At 39.7% G+C, this 19,656-nt stretch overlaps 1 long non-coding RNA gene across 1 annotated transcript; it reads right to left on the reverse strand.

Annotated features, from left to right (window-relative positions):
• Positions 1-766: 766 nt before the first annotated feature.
• Positions 767-17,435, reverse strand: LOC105370156 (uncharacterized). Its single transcript, XR_007063753.1, has 4 exons — positions 17,285-17,435; positions 16,077-16,268; positions 8,962-9,166; positions 767-841 (listed from the first exon to the last, which is right to left on the reverse strand). It is a non-coding gene; the product is annotated as an uncharacterized LOC105370156 (long non-coding RNA).
• Between the last annotated feature and the right edge of the window lie 2,221 nt (positions 17,436-19,656).

The following is a 19,656-nucleotide window of genomic DNA, read 5'->3' on the forward strand; positions in this document are numbered from 1 at the left end:
AGACATTTTTAAAAGAGAGACAAATGTGTCTCATTAATACAGATGCAAAAATCCTTAGCAATATAAACAATCACATCCTGGAAAATATTTTTAAAAGTATTTTGAATAAAAATAAAAATAGAATATTTAATAAATATTCCATACTATTTGGATGTATAATCAATTTAAAAGGTTTAATAACCAGCACATTAAATTTAATAAATTGAACTATATTTAAAGTAACCATTGAATATTAAAATCTATAATATGATGTCTAAAATATTTAATAATAAATATAATGAATAAAATATTTTTTAAACACCTAGAATACAGTATTGAAAGTGAAGTTTATCTCAGGAAGCAAAATATGTTTAGTATTCAAGAACCAATCAACATAGTTCATTGAACAACTGATAAAGGAAATCATTATATTATTATCTCAAGTGGTATAGAAAAAAACATGAAAACATTCAATTCCCATTCATGGTAGAAGAAAAAAAACTTCCAGAAAATCAATAATAGAATGAAAGATCCTCTGTCTCATAAAGTATGTCTACAGAAATCATACAGCCACAACTATATATAATGGTGAAATAGTTTACACTTTTACCCTAAAATCAGGAACTAGACAGGGTTTCATTCTCATCACTTCTATTCAAAATTGCCCTGGAGGTCCTTGCTAATGAAGTAAGAAATAGAATAAATAAATAGAAAAATGAATTGTATTATTACATTATTTATCATTGTATAAATTCATTATGCAGTATATAAATGTATATATGTCATATATATGCAGTATACACACACACACTGTCTTTATTCAGAGATCACATGGTTGTATTGCTAGAAAATCCTGAGAGATCTGCAACAGAAATATTAAGACTAATAAGTGAATACAGCAAGATCACAGAAGACAAATTGTATCATATGAATATATCAATTGAATTTCTATAAACTATTCACATAAAAATATAAATGAAATTTAAAAACATGATGTATAATAGCATTAAAAATTTAGGGTTGTGAGGAAAAAAATCAATAAATTTAACAACTGCAAGATTTCTACACTGAAAACTACAAAACATTACTAAGAACCATTTAAGAAGACTGAAATAAATGGAAACATACTTGTGGGTTGAAAGACTCAATTTTGTCAAAATATCAATTCTCTTCAAATTAGTTGAACAATTCAATACAATCCCAATCAAAATTTAATAGGGCGTTTTGAATGATTAAAAAGCTGATTCTAAAATGTATATAAAAATGCAAGTGAGCTAGAAAAGTCAGAGCATTCTTGAGAAACAAGTATGAAATTGCAGCTTTTATGCTATCAGGTTGCAAGACTTGGTATAAAGCCACAGTTATCAAGGCAGAGTGATAACAGTCTACAGAAATGAACTGACATATTTATGGTCAGTTAACTTTTCTAAAGGAAATTGACTGGGGGAAATAATTGTCTTTCAACAAATTACAGAGAGGAGCCAAGATGGCCAAATAGGAACAGCTGTGGTCTACAGCTCCCAGCGTGAGCAACGCAGAAGATGGGTGATTTCTGCATTTCCATCTGAGGTACCGGGTTCATCTCACTAGGGAGTGTCAGACAGTGGGCGCAGGTTAGTGGGTGCACGCACCGTGCACGAGCCGAAGCAGGGCGAGGCATTCCCTCACTCGGGAAGTGCAAGGGGTCAGGGAGTTCCCTTTCCTAGTCAAAGAAAGGGGTGACAGACGGCACCTGGAAAACCGGGTCACTCCCACCCGAATACTGCGCTTTTCTGACGGGCTTAAAACATGGCACACCAGGAGATTATATCCCGCACCTGGCTCAGAGGGTCCTACGCCCAAGGAGTCTCACTGATTGCTAGCACAGCGGTCTGAGATCAAACTGCAAGGCGGCAGTGAGGCTGGGGGAGGGGCGCCCGCCATTGGCCAGGCTTGCTTAGGTAAACAAAGCAGCTCGAACTGGATGGAGCCCACCACAGCTCAAGGAGGCCTGCCTGCCTCTGTAGGCTCCACCTCTGGGGGCAGGGCACAGACAAACAAAAAGACAGCAGTAACCTCTGCAGACTTAAATGTCCCTGTCTGACAGCTTTGAAGAGAGCAGTGGTTCTCCCAGCATGCAGCTGGAGATCTGAAAATGGGCAGACTGCTTCCTCAAGTGGGTCCCTGACCCCTGACCCCCGAGCAGCCTAACTGGGAGACACCCCCCAGCAGGGGCAGACTGACACCTCACATGGCTGCGTGCTCCAACAGACCTGCAGCTGAGGGTCCTGTCTGTTAGAAGGAAAACTAACAAACAGAAAGGACATCCACACCAAAAACCCGTCTGTACATCACCATCATCAAAGACCAAAAGTAGATAAAACCACAAAGATGGGGAAAAAACAGAGCAGAAAAACTGGAAACTCTAAAAAGCAGAGCGCCTCTCCTCCTCCAAAGGAACGCAGTTCCTCACCAGCAACGGAACAAAGCTGGATGGAGAATGACTTTGACGAGCTGAGAGAAGAAGGCTTCAGATGATCAAATTACTCCGAGCTACGGGAGGACATTCAAACCAAAGGCAAAGAATTTGAAAACTTTGAAAAAAATTTAGAAGAATGTATAACTAGAATAACCAATACAGAGAAGTGCTTAAGGGAGCTGATGGAGCTGAAAACCAAGGCTCGAGAACTACGTGAAGAATGCAGAAGCCTCAGGAGCTGATGCGATCAACTGGAAGAAAGGGTATCAGCGATGGAGGATGAAATGAATGAAATGAAGCGAGAAGGGAAGTTTAGAGAAAAAAGAATAAAAAGAAACGAGCAAAGCCTCCAAGAAATATGGGACTATGTGAAAAGACCAAATCTATGTCTGATTGGTGTACCTGAAAGTGACGAGGAGAATGGAACCAAGTTAGAAAACACTCTGCAGGATATTATCCAGGAGAACTTCCCCAATCTAGCAAGGCAGGCCAACATTCAGATTCAGGAAATACAGAGAAGGCCACAAAGATACTCCTAGAGAAGAGCAACTCCAAGACACATAATTGTCAGATTCACCAAAGTGGAAATGAAGGAAAAAATGTTAAGGGCAGCCAGAGAGAAAGGTCGGGTTACCCTCAAAGGGAAGCCCATCAGACTAACAGCGGATCTCTCAGCAGAAACTCTACAAGCCAGAAGAGAGTGGGGGCCAACATTCAACATTCTTAAAGAGAAAAATTTTCAACCCAGAATTTCATATCCAGCCAAACTAAGCTTCATAAGCGAAGGAGAAATAAAATACTTTACAGACAAGCAAATGCTGAGAGATTTTGTCACCACCAGGCCTGCCCTAAAAGAGCTCCTGAAGGAAGTGCTAAACATGGAAAGGAACAACCGGTACCAGCCGCTGCAAAATCATGCCAAAATATAAAGACCATCGAGACTAGGAAGAAACTGCATGAACTAACGAGCAAAATAACCAGCTAACATCATAATGACAGGATCAAATTCACATATAACAATATTAACTTTAAATGTAAATGGACTAAATGCACCAATTAAAAGACACAGACTGGCAAATTGGATAAAGAGTCAAGACCCATCAGTGTGCTATATTCAGGAAACCCATCTCACATGCAGAGACACACATAGGCTCAGAATAAAAGGATGGAGGAAGATCTACCAAGCCAATGGAAAACAAAAAAAGGCAGGGGTTGCAATCCTAGTCTCTGATAAAACAGACTTTAAACCAACAAAGATCAAAAGAGACAAAGAAGGCCATTACATAGTGGTAAAGGGATCAATTCAACAAGAAGAGCTAACTATCCTAAATATATATGCACCCAATACAGGAGCACCCAGATTCATAAAGCAAGTCTTGAGTGACCTACAAAGGGACTTAGACTCCCACACATTAATAATGGGAGACTTTAACACCCCACTGTCAACATTAGACAGATCAACGAGACAGAAAGTCAACAAGGATACCCAGGAATTGAACTCAGCTCTGCACCAAGCGGACCTAATAGACATCTACAGAACTCTCCACCCCAAATCAACAGAATATACATTTTTTTCAGCACCACACCACACCTATTCCAAAATTGACCACATACTTAGAAGTAAAGCTCTCCTCAGCAAAAGTAAAAGAACAGAAATTATAACAAACTATCTCTCAGACCACAGTGCAATCAAACTAGAACTCAGGATTAAAAATCTCACTCAAAACCACTCAACTACATGGAAACTGAACAACCTGCTCCTGAATGACTACTGGGTACATAACGAAATGAAGGCAGAAATAAAGATGTTCTTTGAAACCAAGGAGAACAAAGACACAACATACCAGAATCTCTGGGACACATTCAAAGCAGTGTGTAGAGGGAAATTTATAGCACTAAATGCCCACAAGAGAAAGCAGGAAAGATCCAAAATTGACACCCTAATATCACAATTAAAAGAACTAGAAAAGCAAGAGGAAACACATTCAAAAGCTAGCAGAAGGCAAGAAATAACTAAAATCAGAGCAGAACTGAAGGAAATAGAGACACAAAAAACCCTTCAAAAAATTAATGAATCCAGGAGCTGGTTTTTTGAAAGGATCAACAAAATTGATAGACCGCTAGCAAGACTAATAAAGAAAAAAAGAGAGAAGAATCAAATAGACGCAATAAAAAATGATAAAGGGGATATCACCACCGATCCCACAGAAATACAAACTACCATCAGAGAATACTGCAAACACCTCTATGCAAATAAACTAGAAAATCTAGAAGAAATGGATAAATTCCTCGACACATACACTCTCCCAAGACTAAACCAGGAAGATGTTGAATCTCTGAATAGACCAATAACAGGAGCTGAAATTGTGGCAATAATCAATAGCTTACCAACCAAAAAGAGTCCAGGACCAGATGGATTCACAGCCGAATTCTACCAGAGGTACAAGGAGGAACTGGTACCATTCCTTCTGAAACTATTCCAATCAATAGAAAAAGAGGGAATCCTCCCTAACTCATTTTATGAGGCCAGCATCATCCTGATACCAAAGCCGGACAGAGACACAACCAAAAAAGAGAATTTTAGACCAATATCCTTGATGAACATTGATGCAAAAATCCTCAATAAAATACCGGCAAACCGAATCCAGCAGCACATCAAAAAGCTTATCCACCATGATCAAGTGGGCTTCATCCCTGGGATGCAAGGCTGGTTCAATATACGCAAATCAATAAATGTAATCCAGCATATAAACAGAACCAAAGACAAAAACCACATGATTATCTCAATAGATGAAGAAAAGGCCTTTGACAAAATTCAACAACCCTTCGTGCTAAAAACTCTCAATAAATTAGGTATTGATGGGACGTATCTCAAAATAATAAGAGCTATCTATGACAAACCCATAGCCAATATCATACTGAATGGGCAAAAACTGGAAGCATTCCCTTTGAAAAAGGGGCACAAGACAGGGATGCCCTCTCTCACCACTCCTATTCAACATAGTGTTGGAAGTTCTGGCCAGGGCAATTAGGCAGGAGAAGGAAATAAAGGGTATTCAAATAGGAAAAGAGGAAGTCAAATTGTCCCTGTTTGCAGATGACATGATTGTATATCTAGAAAACCCCATTGTCTCAGCCCAAAATCTCCTTAAGCTGATAAGCAACTTCAGCAAAGTCTCAGGATACAAAATCAATGTACAAAAATCACAAGCATTCTTATACACCAAGAACAGACAAACAGAGAGCCAAATCATGAGTGAACTCCCATTCACAATTGCTTCAAAGAGAATAAAATACCTAGGAATCCAACTTACAAAGGATGTGAAGGACCTCTTCAAGGAGAACTACAAACCACTGCTCAAAGAAATAAAAGAGGATACAAACAAATGGAAGAGCATTCCATGCTCATGGGTAGGAAGAATCAATATCGTGAAAATGGCCATACTGCCCAAGGTAATTTACAGATTCAATGCCATCCCCATCAAGCTACCAATGACTTTCTTCACAGAATTGGAAAAAACTACTTTAAAGTTCATATGGAACCAAAAAAGAGCCTGCATTGCCAAGTCAATCCTAAGCCAAAAGAACAAAGCTGGAGGCATCATGCTACCTGACTTCAAACTATACTGCAAGGCTACAGTAACCACAACAGCATGGTACTGGTACCAAAACAGAGATATAGATCAATGGAACAGAAAAGAGCCCTCAGAAATAACGCCGCATATCTACAACTATCTGATCTTTGACAAACCTGAGAAAAACAAGCAATGGGGAAAGGATTCCCTATTTAATAAATGGTGCTGGGAAACCTGGCTGGCCATATGTAGAAAGCTGAAACTGGATCCCTTCCTTACACCTTATACAAAAATTAATTCAAGATGGATTAAAGACTTAAATGTTAGACCTAAAACCATAAAAACCCTAGAAGAAAACCTAGGCATTACCATTTAGGACATAGGCATGGGCAAGGACTTCATGTCTAAAACACCAAAAGCAATGGCAACAAAAGCCAAATTGGCAAATGGGATCTCATTAAACTAAAGAGCTTCTGCACAGCAAAAGAAACTACCATCAGAGTGAACAGGCAACCTACAAAATGGGAGAAAATTTTTGCAACCTACTCATCTGACAAAGGGCTAATATCCAGAATCTACAATGAACTCAAACAAATTTACAAGAAAAAAACAAACAACCCCATCAAAAAGTGGGCAAAGGACATGAACAGATACTTCTCAAAAGAAGACATTTATGCAGCCAAAAAACACATGAAAAAATGCTCACCATCACTGGCCATCAGAGAAATGCAAATCAAAACCACAATGAGATACCATCTCACACCTGTTAGAATGGCAATCATTAAAAAGTCAGGAAACAACAGGTGCTGGAGAGGATGTGGAGAAATAGGAACACTTTTACACTGTTGGTGGGACTGTAAACTAGTTCAACCATTGTGGAAGTCAGTGTGGCGATTCTTCAGGGATCTAGAACTAGAAATACCATTTGACCCAGCCATCCCATTAGTGGGTATATACCCAAAGGACTATAAATCGTGCTGCTATAAAGACACATGCACATGTATGTTTATTGCAGCATTATTCACAATGGCAAAGACTTGGAACCAACCCAAATGTCCAACAATGATAGACTGGATTAAGAAAATGTGGCACATATACACCATGGAATACTATGCAGCCATAAAAAATGATGAGTTCATGTCCTTTGTAGGGACATGGATGAAATTGGAAATCATCATTCTCAGTAAACTATCGCAAGAACAAAAAACCAGACACCGCAATTCTCACTCATAGGTGGGAATTGAACAATGAGAACACATGGACACAGGAAGGGGAACATCACACTCTGGGGCCTGTTGTGGGGTGGGGGGAGGGGGGAGGGATAGCATTGGGAGATATACCTAATGCTAGATGACGAGTTAGGGGGTGCAGCACACCAGCATGGCACATGTATACATATGTAACTAACCTGCACATTGTGCACATGTACCCTAAAACTTAAAGTATAATAATAATAAATTAAAAAACAAAAACAAATTACTCTATACATAGAGAGCAATTCTAATTAAAACCCAAATGAAATTTGATAAACTGATTCTAAAGTTTACTTAGAAGAGAAGATGCAGGAAAATAATGAAGGAAATTTAGGTAGTTAAGAGCAAGTAGTAAGAATTTGTTTTATCAAATACTAAAAAACATTTTAAAGCATTATTGGTATAGTTTGATTTATGTAGACAGAGGAAATCAATGAAAAATATTAGAGATTTCTATAAAACTTTTATCAGAACCATAAAGAAAAGATGGCTTCAGGACAAGTAACTCTATTTGGGAAAAAAATAGTTTGATCCCTAAGCCATACTATATATGCAAGTATATTCTATAGATATCTGAATGTAAATAAAATTGAAAAACACATTCACAAAATATATCTAATAAGCTGTTGTAAATAAATAAGAAGATGTCCAAAAACTTACTATAAATAAATGAAGATTATAAGTAGGCCGAAGAAATAGAAATAAACTATAAACAAATGAAATAAGCTCATTCTTCTCCCCGCCAAAAGTTTTCATGGCCCCTGGGTTTGGTCCTAAATGATGATTAGGGATTTCCAAGCTGGGCAAGATGGAATAGGGTGAGGTAAGCTATTCCAGGGTTGGTAGCCAGGATAAGCAAATGAAGCCAACAATAAAAGTGCATGGTGCTCCCAGGTGGGTACAATTAGCTATTGAGAGTTTATCCTTAGGCGATAGGGAAACATGAAATTTCTGATGAGGAAAGGGTTATTTAGATTTGTAATATTTGCAAAGTTACTCTGGCAGCAGTGGAATTTGAATTTGTGTATGAAGAGATGCAAATGTGGAGACTATTTGTGTGACTAGCGCACTAATGCAGGTGTGATAAAGTCCTGAATTATAGCAGCAGTCAGTATCATTGAGGCTGAGAAAGGAAGGTTGCAGTTGATGAAACTCAGTGACTGTAAGTGCTGAGCGCTGAAGGAAAGAGAGAGAGAAATTGAGGATTGCTCCCAGGTTTTTCTGTAAGAGTGCCAATTGCTGAAACAGACATTCCAGGAGAAGTAAGCTTGCTAGGTTGTGAGTGGTGATAATGAGTTTAGATTTGGCTGTACCTAGTAAGATGGGTAGAAACACAACTGATCGCTAAACGTGAAGGCTTTTCACCTCTCATTTATGAAAGCAAAAAGTAGATGGTGATGAATTTGAAGTGAATCATCAATAACTTCAGTGATTTGGGGGGTAGTCCCATGACCATTATAGTGGATATGATACCTACTAAGTTAAAACCTTATGCAACTGCTAATATTGGGCCATTTTTGTTTTACAAGAAGTGACAGTTTCACAGGGTTGATCAAATAGTTTGCTGGCTTTGGGAAGAAACTTATGAGATATCTTCCTTAGATTTCACAAAGGAAATAAGGATTATTGTTAAGTGTTGAAAATAATGTTTTAAGAGAAATAAAATGTGATAAAATGTATCATCAAAAACATCTACCTTATATTAGTTGACTTACAGGTCTCACTCCCCACTCTCTTGGGACAAGTTAGTGGTACCCGAGCTTGGACCCAGGAGGCGGCGGGGATTTATCAGGACTTGACATCCAAGAACTCTGCTGGGGGGAGCTGGATCCTATCACCCTTATTTCTCCTGAAACTCCATACCAATGTTCCATAGCAGTCACCATGCTGTGCAACAAGTCCTGGGAATTTAAAGAAAAAGAAGAACCTGATCTAATAACTCCTGAAAATATCATTTACCTTCATGTAATTTAAGCTGAAGAATTCTTCTTTGTTAGCTAAAAGGAGGGGCAAAACATTTTGGGGCTTTTCAAATAGAAAGAAAAAATACATGAAGGAATATTATTTTTCCTGGTGACTGATGCCAGGAACATTTTGTTTTGATAAGCTCAATTCTGCCATCATTATATTAAGACAAAATAGAGCTTTTGACTAAATTATACATTTCTCCTCTAAGCTGCTCCTGCTCTCTGAAACTGAGATACTTTCAGATCAAAATTCTGTCTTTCAGATTGATACCAACATTAGTATAAACTAAAGAAAAATGAAAATATATTCGTGCAGCTGTTTCTGCATATCACCTTTAATCTTCCATGCACGTTAAAATATGTGCTTCTCAAAGAGGAAGAAAGAGAAACAGAGAGAGAGAGAGAGAGAGAGAGAGAGATCTATTTTTGCTTTATGTGAATATAAAAGTAATTTGTTGCCATGGTGATATATTTTTTCCATCCTGTATTTTCCAAACACAGGCTTTGCTTCAGGTTTTGGGTACACAGTCTCTCTTGCTGTCCTCCATTTACAATGTCATGCTCCACTGACCACTGCAGGTCAGGCACAAGCTAGTCTACAAGATCAAACGTCACATTTGACAGAAATTTTTATTTTTTGGTGCTTGTAACAGTATGAGCCTCTTGACAGAGTCAGGGAGAGGGCATTTCAGATTCCTGAGGCCCTTCATTTGGCAACTGCTAAAGTTTAGTGTTCCAATTTCCCTGTCTTTCTTTGCAAAAGAACCACTGCTTATGTTAACCCTATGCAATCCAACCTGGTCAATATTTACCTAGCGTTGCATTCAGCAGCTAGCCAGTCTACAGAGATTGTCTATAGACATACCCAACAGTCTATAGACTGTTTTGTCTACTGAAAAGTTGCTACTAAATTTTAGTAGCTAGCAAAATTTTAGTTGCTTTGTAAACAAACAAACAAAAATCAGAGGTTTACTTGTTTTCTACTTAAGGAAAGTATAGCAGAAGAAATAAATAACCAGAGCTTGGAGGGTCAATTCATAGGCCCCACGAAATTAAATAAATCAACAGTTAAGGGAAATTGCCTTAAAGACAGATTAAGGAAGATGGGAAAAAAGAGGTGTGATCAGAGAACTATGTTAGTTCAGGATCTGGAGATGTACTGTCTATATGGTGATGGTGGGAGGTAGGGAAGGCAGGGCAACAGGAATGGAGAAGAGAAGCAAGAAAGGTGGACAGGTAGCAGCAAACACAGGCCATTGTGCAATAGGTGAGCGATTTTAATTCTAATATTAGTTAAAACAACAAACCAACATTACTGGTCAAAGCCAAGGGTCACTTACAAGTTCATCTGTATAGTCTGTTCTTGGATAGGACAATAGGCATGAATTCACAAGAAAAGATTATTCATAAATAAGTTAAATATTTTGTGGACATTTACCTGTGACAGGTGCTATGTTAGCCTTGATAAAGGTACATATAGAATCAACTGAATCAACTGAAAGAGGAGATAATATGTCAACGTGAAAACGTGGCTAATTACACAAAAGCCACATGAATTATACAGAGATTAGGCTTATTGCAGTTTCAAGGCAAAGAATCAGAGACCACAATTGCAGCTAGATTTTGAACAGGCTGAATTTAGAGAGATGCAAAGAAGAGGGAAAAGGAAGCCCTCTTCTCCTCTGAGTGCCCACCAGTGGATCGTACACAAAAGAAAGTAGTTGAATGGAATAGAGAGTTGGACTGGACACCATGTCTTAGAGTCAAGGCTGAAATAAGCTTCTTACCTTCTACTCTGAATCCTACTGGGCCTGCAAAATGGACTGAAAACTTCTGTGTCCACTCAGCTGGAGGAAGGAGGACCTCAAAAAGTCTTACATATTCATTTAGGGGCAGGAAGTGAAGTGAGGTAGTTACCTCTCAATAACAGGCTCGTGTTTGACAGAGTACTGAGAGTGAAAAAGGAAACGTGCACCTGGTCTGGCTGTAGGCACCATCACCATGACCACCAAAAAAATGGTTCAATGGATGCCAAATTCTAGCAACATTCACCATTGCCCTTTCCTCTGTGAGGAATGTGGGCATCAGAGAGGCTGCGAGTTTTACTACTGATGCTCTCCTAGGTAGAGAGTAGGGATTTAGGGTATTACCCTCCAAGAGTGGAGACAGGAAGAAAGGAAAAAGGGAAATAGCTGCTCTCTCTTCTCTCCCTACCCTCATTCCTGCCTAAAGCTAAGCTCTAAGGCAGGTTTTTTCCATATGCCACCTAGGTGGATCTTCGTAGTAACTGAACGATAGAGGTGTAATTGGCTCCGCGTTGCAGGTAAAATGAGACTTGGGGCTGGGGTGAAGGAATTTGCCCAAAATTAAATGACAAGAAAGTGAGGACACCCAATATTTTAATTCATACTCATAACTCCAAAATCCATACTTTATATACACGTACACACCAGGGAGGTCCAGCTGAAGGCAGGAAACCTGTAGGAGACAGTGAGAGCTAATCTGCAAAGGCTCAAAGCAAGACTGAGGAACTCAAACTTGTTTTTCAGGCACTCGGAAGCATCTGAAGCATTTGTTTTTGAGCACAGGAATGACTCAGTGCAGCACTTTAACTGATTTTGGGTAAAATTCATCCCAGAATGTATATAACATGGAATGAAAATAAGCCATGTTGCAATTAAAAGCTGTTAACAATAATTTCAAAATAGATTTGGAGGTTATGAATGATTCATCATTGTATGGCTTGCTATTGCTCACAACAAAGTATACTCAAATTCACTGGCTTAAACCCACCGTCATTTATGACTGTTTATATATCAGCAGGATGGCTGGGCTTGGCTGGGTGGTTTTACTTTAAGCCCAAGTTGCTGGGCAGCTCAGCTTCTCACTGCACATCTGTGGGCTGCATGGGAAAGCCATGCTTCATGTGCCTCTCATCTTCCTTGGATCAATGATTTAGAAGAGAAATGTTCTTCTCATTGTGATGGGCATGGCCCCAGACAGCAAGCCGAAACCCACAGACTTTGGAAGGTCTGGGTTTGCATATGGCTCCCTCACTGTCTCTTCCACCTCAGTTTATTGAACAGCATAAATCACTTGGCTAAACTTAAAGTTAAACTTGAAGGATCAGGGAAATATTCTCCATCCTTTTCCTGAGAGGAACTGAAAAGTCACATGTCAAAGTGTGTGACCATAAGGAGGGGTGAAGAATGGGGCTAAAAATAAAATTGTCATCATCCTCATGAATTACCACTGTGTCAAATACTGAGTGGTTTTGAATTTATAGGTTCTATTTGAGAGGTTATTATTTTTAGTTAAGCCCAAAGATGATAATATAGTGAGAAGAGTAAAATTTAATTCCCTGCCTCTGGGGCCTTGATTTCCTCATATATAGAATGAAAGGTGTCAACTAGATAATCTCTATGGGCCCTTTGAACTCTATGATCCTAGGCTTCTAGACTCATATTACTTTAAATGATAAATGCATAGACATGGTCAAGAGAAATTTCCGATTGAATGTATAGTCTATAACAACTTAATGGAGAAATACTTAGGGAAACTATATGAAAATTTAGAAGGATTCCAATTATAAGTTGAAATGTCAGTTTTGATTAGAAAAATTATACTCTTCACAGGGTAATCACAACTAAGACCTTGGAGCCACCTGTCCCTAAATACATATTTAATATCAACTTTATATGAAGGAAAATATGGATGGAATATCATTATTGTGAAGCCCAATAGTTCAAAAGTTCTCTTTTAGCAAACATCCGAGAATTTTTGAGCATTTCTTGAAATAGCAGAACATTGAGAAAATACATTTGGGCAACCTCAACATGAAACTTTTTACAGCTCTGGAACCCCTCCTTCTTCCCATACTTCTCCATATTATTGTTATTTTTATTATTGTTATTATAATTTTAGAGACACAGTCTCACTCTGTTGCCCAGTCTGGAGTGCAGTGTAGCTCGACCATAGCCCACTGCAGCCTCAAACTCCTGGGCTCAAATGATCCTCCCATCTCAGCCTCCTGAGTAGCTGGGACTACAGGCATGCACTACTACCCCTAGCTAATTATCTTATTATTTGTAGAGGTGGGATCTCACTATGTTGCCCAGGCTGGTCTCTAATTCCTGGGCTCAAGTGATCATCCTGCCTCGGCTTCCCGAAACATTGGGATTAAGGCATCGGCCACTGTGCCAGGCCCAAAACCTCTCCTTGACAACAAGGACTGCTACGCCTGGGGATTTTGTGACATGGGTGGGGATAGGGGAGCGATGGGAAGGAAACCCAGTGCAGGGATTATGAAGGGAGCTGCTGCAGGCAGTGCACCATTGCTTCATCAGGCTATGCTGACAGAGTCATCGCACGAAATACTGTGTCTGTTAGCCGCCACCTCTTCTCGTTGCAGCTGTGCAGTTCCTTCCATGCCCTCCTCTTGTTTCCTTCCATCATCCCTTAATTTTTTTTTTACTTTGTAGGAAATGTGATCTCTCAGTTGGAGTTTTGGGAGTGGATATTTTGCCCACATATGACCTTCTTGCTTATGATCCATGTCCTTTAGTTTTCCAGGACTATCATGCGTTTTTAAGATTTAACTCAAACTGGTTTATGCCCATTATATATGTAAAGGGAACCCACCATCATTTCTGTTGACTCCGGGGATTCACAGGGGTCCCAACCACTGCTGCATTCTTGCTGTCCCTTGAGCAGCTCTGCCTAGGACATGCTCTCCCCTTCCACACCATGTTGCCCTACTGGCCAGCCCCTGCCTCTTCCTTCTCTCTTCTGAAGTTACACACACAGTAGGCTGGGAGTTGGATAAATTTTACTAAAACGTTGGGAAGGTGGAGAGGCTGACTGTACATACCACACTGCAGATAATGTGACAGGAAATATTAGACAGCTCTGTCATGAACAGTCTTTCAGCCACATTCCCTAATGGGCCTTTCTCTAGACAGTCTCTCCACTTAAGTCCTTGCTGATCTTACAAAGCTCTCCTCTCCACTGCACCTTGGCTGCCTCTCAAAAAACAACAAAAGGCTCCCAGGCCTTGTAGAACAATTCACTGCAGACCTTACCCAAAATTCAATTCTAAGCTGACTTAGATATACCTGCACTATACAGGTGTATCAGTTTTATATTTTATACCATATGTGTACTGTACCTTTTCTATGTTTAGATGCATCTATGCTTACCATTGTGTTACAGTTGCCTACAGTATTCAGTACAACATGCTGTGCAGGTGTGCAGCCTAGGAGCAATGGGCTATGCCATGCAGTCTAGATGCGTAGCGGGCTCTCCCCTCTAGGTCTGTATAAGTACACTCTATGATATTTACACAATGATGAAATCACCTAACAATGTATTTCTCAGAACATATTCTCGCCATTAAGTAATTTATGACTATACTAAACCATGAAATTTCTGTTTTAGGACTGCATACTTCAGCAGCACAAAATATTGAAATAACAGGGTTTTCCTAATCTGAGCTCAAATGCTTTGATAGGACTGTCTTCTTCAAATATGAATGTTGCCAATGCTACATCTCACATCTTGTCATCCCCACACCATCATTCAAAGCAGGAGTAGCTACAGTCACTTTGCTTCTGTAGTTTTTTTTTTAAAAAACATTTTTATTTCTGATACAGATAAATAAGATATCTCAGGCAGATGAGTGAAGATCATTCTCAGTGGATAGAATAAGTCACCAGAGTCCATACTTAGAGGCAAAGATCCTGGGAGAGTGTTGTGGAAGCAGCCCCACTTGTGCTACATCCATGTAGGCAATTAAGGGAAGAAGAAGGCTAAAGAGGCCTGGATGACAGGCATTTGGACTTTTGTGAGTAATGGAGAACCAACGATGATTTTTTAGTAGGTTTTTTTTTCATCTTTTTGAATTTGCTGTAGGGAGAAATCTCATGAGTAGGATGAAGTTGACAAGCGTGGCCAAGAGGGAAAAGGGAGAAAGAAAAATCCATAGGAAGATGATTGCTGGAGTTTCTTTGTATGCATTAAATGTGAATAATAAATACAGAATTCAAGCAGTTTCTTTTAACATCTTGGTTATTTGCTGACCATCCTTAAAGGACTGGAAAACTTTTTAACTTACTGTTTCAGTGAATTGAGGAGTATCATGTGGGTTGAAAAAGTGATAGCTATTATTCTTACTGGGTAACTCTCAAAAAAGGTAATAAGAAATTTAGGAGTTAGAAAGACCTTATTAACTAATATATCATAATAAAAATACTTTGGTAATTTCTACAGAGTCTAAATTTGTTTGCAATGGAACCAAAAGGCATATTCACAGGGGTTTATGCAGGAGTGACAGAAGTGGCTATCAAGGCCCCTCAAGGCAGCCTCAGCCAATATAAAGATTAAAATTCACTTTCCATTAGAACCATCTCCCACCAAATATCACAACCCTGAGGCTTCTGAATGGTGAAACTGGCTTCCAAAGAAGTGCAGTTCATGCAATTCAATATGTCACCTCCTCAGTCTGGACGTCAGACTCCAAATCTGTTGTGTGTGTGGGGTCAGCATTTTGGTAGAGGGAGAAGGGAATGGGTCTTCAGAAGGCTTTCACTTTCTCCCTCACACTACTTTTCTGTATTGTTTTCATTTTTTTCATAGACATCACTTGACTTATAATAAACAAATAGCAAAACAAATAAAAGAAGTCACCTCAGGTTGCAGAGTTAACCTTATTGTTTAACAGTAACCCAACCGGGGGGTCTAAAATTGAGAGACTAAAAAGATAAGAGCTGTGTTATACCTCTGCTTTTACGCTGCTCAACTACTTGTAAGTGGAGGAAAGAGGAGTAGGAGCTAAGGGAAACTGTACCTAACATGGCTTCTCAAGCTTCTGTCTTTGTTCTTTGGTCTGTTGCATCTCTCTCAAAAGACCAGCTGCTTAGATGAATCAACATAAACAGTTTCACACAATTAGCAGGAGATCTGACTTACAGCCACCTTGTACCAAATTCTGCTTCAGCATCAAAGCGTGTTGGTGTAGTTCTGGCCTACGTAGCAAGCCCTAGAAAACAAGAGGAAAGGGAAAGAGATATATTTACTAATGTGAAGGAAGGTACATTTACTAAGAACAAATATTTTCTCTAGCCCTGTGATAGGTGCTTCCCTTGTGTTAACTAAGTAATACTCATCAACAGCCATTATGTAGGTAAAGAAACTCAAATTCAGAGAGGTTGGATAATTTATCAAAAATCACACAGTAATTGAAGTCATTTTTTTTAGCATCCTTCTCTTTGTGTCCAAAATCCATACTTTTCCCCATACAACATGCTACTCACTGGTTAAAGTACAATTCCTTATGATTTATCTGAAGTGACTGAGTGTGTATATCCCAGAAAAGACAGAGCCAGGAGCTGGGCACTGTATCAGCACCTCCCTTTTCTGCCCGTGTTCAACTTGGCAAAATTATTCCTGGAGGCTGGGTTTCAGAATGATAAAGCAGTCACCAAGGAGGGGTTTTATTTATTCATTTTTAATGAATTGGTGCAATTACTCAGGCTGAGCCATAAGTAAACATCTTGCCAGAGACACACAGGGAGGGAAGACTGATGACAATAAATTCCTAGTTCCTTTAAAATTGTTTGATGTAATTCTGGTTGGCAGCCCGGGGAGGATGCCGTTTTCCTGCAGAGTTTTTATTATGATTGCTGTGAGTTGTTTGCCCTCCTCTCTGACTTTGCATGCTCACTGCTCTCTAGGTTCAGAAATAACTCCATTGCTGACTTTAAAGTGAAGAAAGTAATGACTGGAAAGATGCTGTATGAATTAAAATAACTAGATATGTTCTTTCAGCAAAACTGGAGCGTTGAGTTGGTCATATGCAACTGGAAGAGGGGCAAATCCATGCAGTGGGTGGAGCCCCATCCAGATCTTAGGAGAAACAAGAATGTGCCTTCCTCCTCATGATTTCCTTTCCACTCCCAGCCCGCACTCCACGTTTCCTGCATGACTGACTCCACCTTGGTTCCAATGGCCTGGTCTCCACTGCCAGGGCCCAAAGGTTTGTGCCAATTACTGTACCTTGAGAGTTGAGATGAAAGTGCTTTTCTCCTGAATTACTTGGAAAATTGCCTCTATTTCCTTTTGCATTTTTTACTAGACTAGGCCTAGCCTTTAGCTGAGAGGGTCTAGCCCAAGTAGCCCATTACTGAATGCCTCCTGCAGGGCCATTGCTAAAACGCCATTGTGAGGTCACTGCAGCCTATTTTAGCTGCCAGAATATTGCTTTGGACTTTGATAGCTTCTTCCCTCTGAACAGCCCAAGCTACTTGTCAAATTTCAAAAGGATTCGATATGCAAAAGGGAAAATGGAGAGTACCATGCGATAATTAGGTGTTCCCATATTTGTCAACTTGGATAAGCATAGTCCAGAAGTTCAGGTGAGTTTTTAATGTTGTACAATTTATGAAGAGAGGGTCCCTCTTAAATGAGAGGGTCCTCATAAGGAGAGCTCACTAAGCTTTCAGGTAAGACTCTACTGAAGCTATTGAAATTGACCTGATTGTTATATATGCAAATTTCTGAAGATTAAACACAGGGACAATGTACATTGAGTGCCTATGTACTGTTTTTCCCTTCTCTCATCCAGTTCTCAAAATAACCCCACAGTCAAGCATTTAGCCCTCCTTTTTATAGATGCCTGTCTCTAGACCATAATCTCTATTGGAGCCTAGAGGGTGCAATTTACTCACTGCTGTATTGATGGGAGCAAACATAGGTCTTGCTTATCATAGGAACCTCATGAATATTTGTTGAATTAACTCTGGCCTTCAGTTGGATGTTTAACTGTTGAACTGAACAATCTGAAGACACTGAAGATCAGAAAAATGAAGTGACATGCTCAGGTCTCAAAGTTATTAAATGGTGGGTTAGAATTCAGGCCAATCCCAGCCCCCTTCTATTGAGACCAGAACAGTGAAGAGCATTTCCTGTAGATCATGTCTCCTGTTTCCCTCAGCACCTCTGCGAGTGGACACCATTACTGACAGGTTTCCAAGCCTGTGTGCTTGTTCTGCTAGGGCACACTGTCTCCCAACTCACAAGTCTGAGTCTTCCTGGTACTGACGCAGAACCCTTTCTCATGGCAGGCAGAAATGGCAACTCAGTGACACCCAAGTGGGGAGTGACTGATTTATTTTTGGCAGGAGAGAGGCTGGCGTAGATCATTCATCCTCTGTGACTGAGAGATAGGTGGACCCTCACGTTCTCTCTTCTCTGCCTTTGGCAGACAAAAAGATGTGACAGCCCTGACTACTTGGGGAGTTAGTTTGTGATGGGGTAGGGGCTTTTCTGGAATTAGCTAAAAAGTTTCTCTTGTGAAGGAAACAGTTTTCTTAAGTCCCAGTGAAACAAGAGCTGAGCTAGCTGTGCATTTGTCTGGGAATTTGATAAGAAGATGAGACACGCTAGCCAGGGGGAAGGCAACCAAGGGGGAAAAGCTGCAGGGATTTTGGCTCATGACAAAATTTGCTAAGGGACCCGAATGCCTAAAACAAGCAGATTCCAGAGCAAGAGAATTATCAAGAATGAGGAGAAATGTGGAAGAAGGAATAGTGGCTGCAATATAAATATTAGTCAGCCAAGTTTTCTAATACAATTCAGATCTTTCCATGACTTTCAATTTTAGGCCCTAAATTATCCAAGTCAATACAGATAACACTGTAAATGTTCAACTCTTCTAATCAATCCCTTTTACCTAAAAATGTATAATTGAGGGAAGAAATAGAGCAAGTCTGTTACCCTTCTTCACTCCAACATTTTGTCTCTGATCATTGGGCCAGCAGTTAAAAGACTCATGTTTTAGTATTGAATATTCCTTTGTTTATGAGTTGAGTCACCTTGGAAAATCCTTTTGGTCTCTGAACGTCAGCTCTTGCACCTGAGACAGTAGTGTAGGCTGTTTCCCTAGATTTTTAACTTGCCTTGAAGCACTAAATACCTAAATGACCTCAGACATGTTTCTTAGCTTCTCTGAGCCTCAGTTTCCCTGTCTCTAAAGGGAAAATGATACCAGTGGCTACCTCTCTGTGTCCCTGTAAGAATGCCATGCCCCTCACGACACATACAGGCGTGTGCAGCAGGGCATGGCACAATAAATGTGTTCTATGGACACAACTGCGGGGCATGGTGGGGGGATTGTTCTGTTCCACAGTTGTTGCCACTATCTGTTTAAAGGATGCCCTTTGAAAACTTCACATGCATATACAAGTGTGCATCTGTGCCTAGGTAAATGAGCACCACTCCTGTCATTATCCTGTGATTTCACATTTCTAATCTACTTGCTCATTTTTCTCAAATTGCTTGATGATGCTATTTCTCCCTAAAGAAATAAGACCCCAATGTTAGGATCTCTGTGTAGAATTTCCTTTCTGTTCTTTAATATCACTCAATAA

The sequence above is a fragment of the Homo sapiens genome, chromosome 13, assembly GCF_000001405.40.
Source record: "Homo sapiens chromosome 13, GRCh38.p14 Primary Assembly".
NCBI classification, from domain to species: Eukaryota; Metazoa; Chordata; class Mammalia; order Primates; family Hominidae; genus Homo; species Homo sapiens.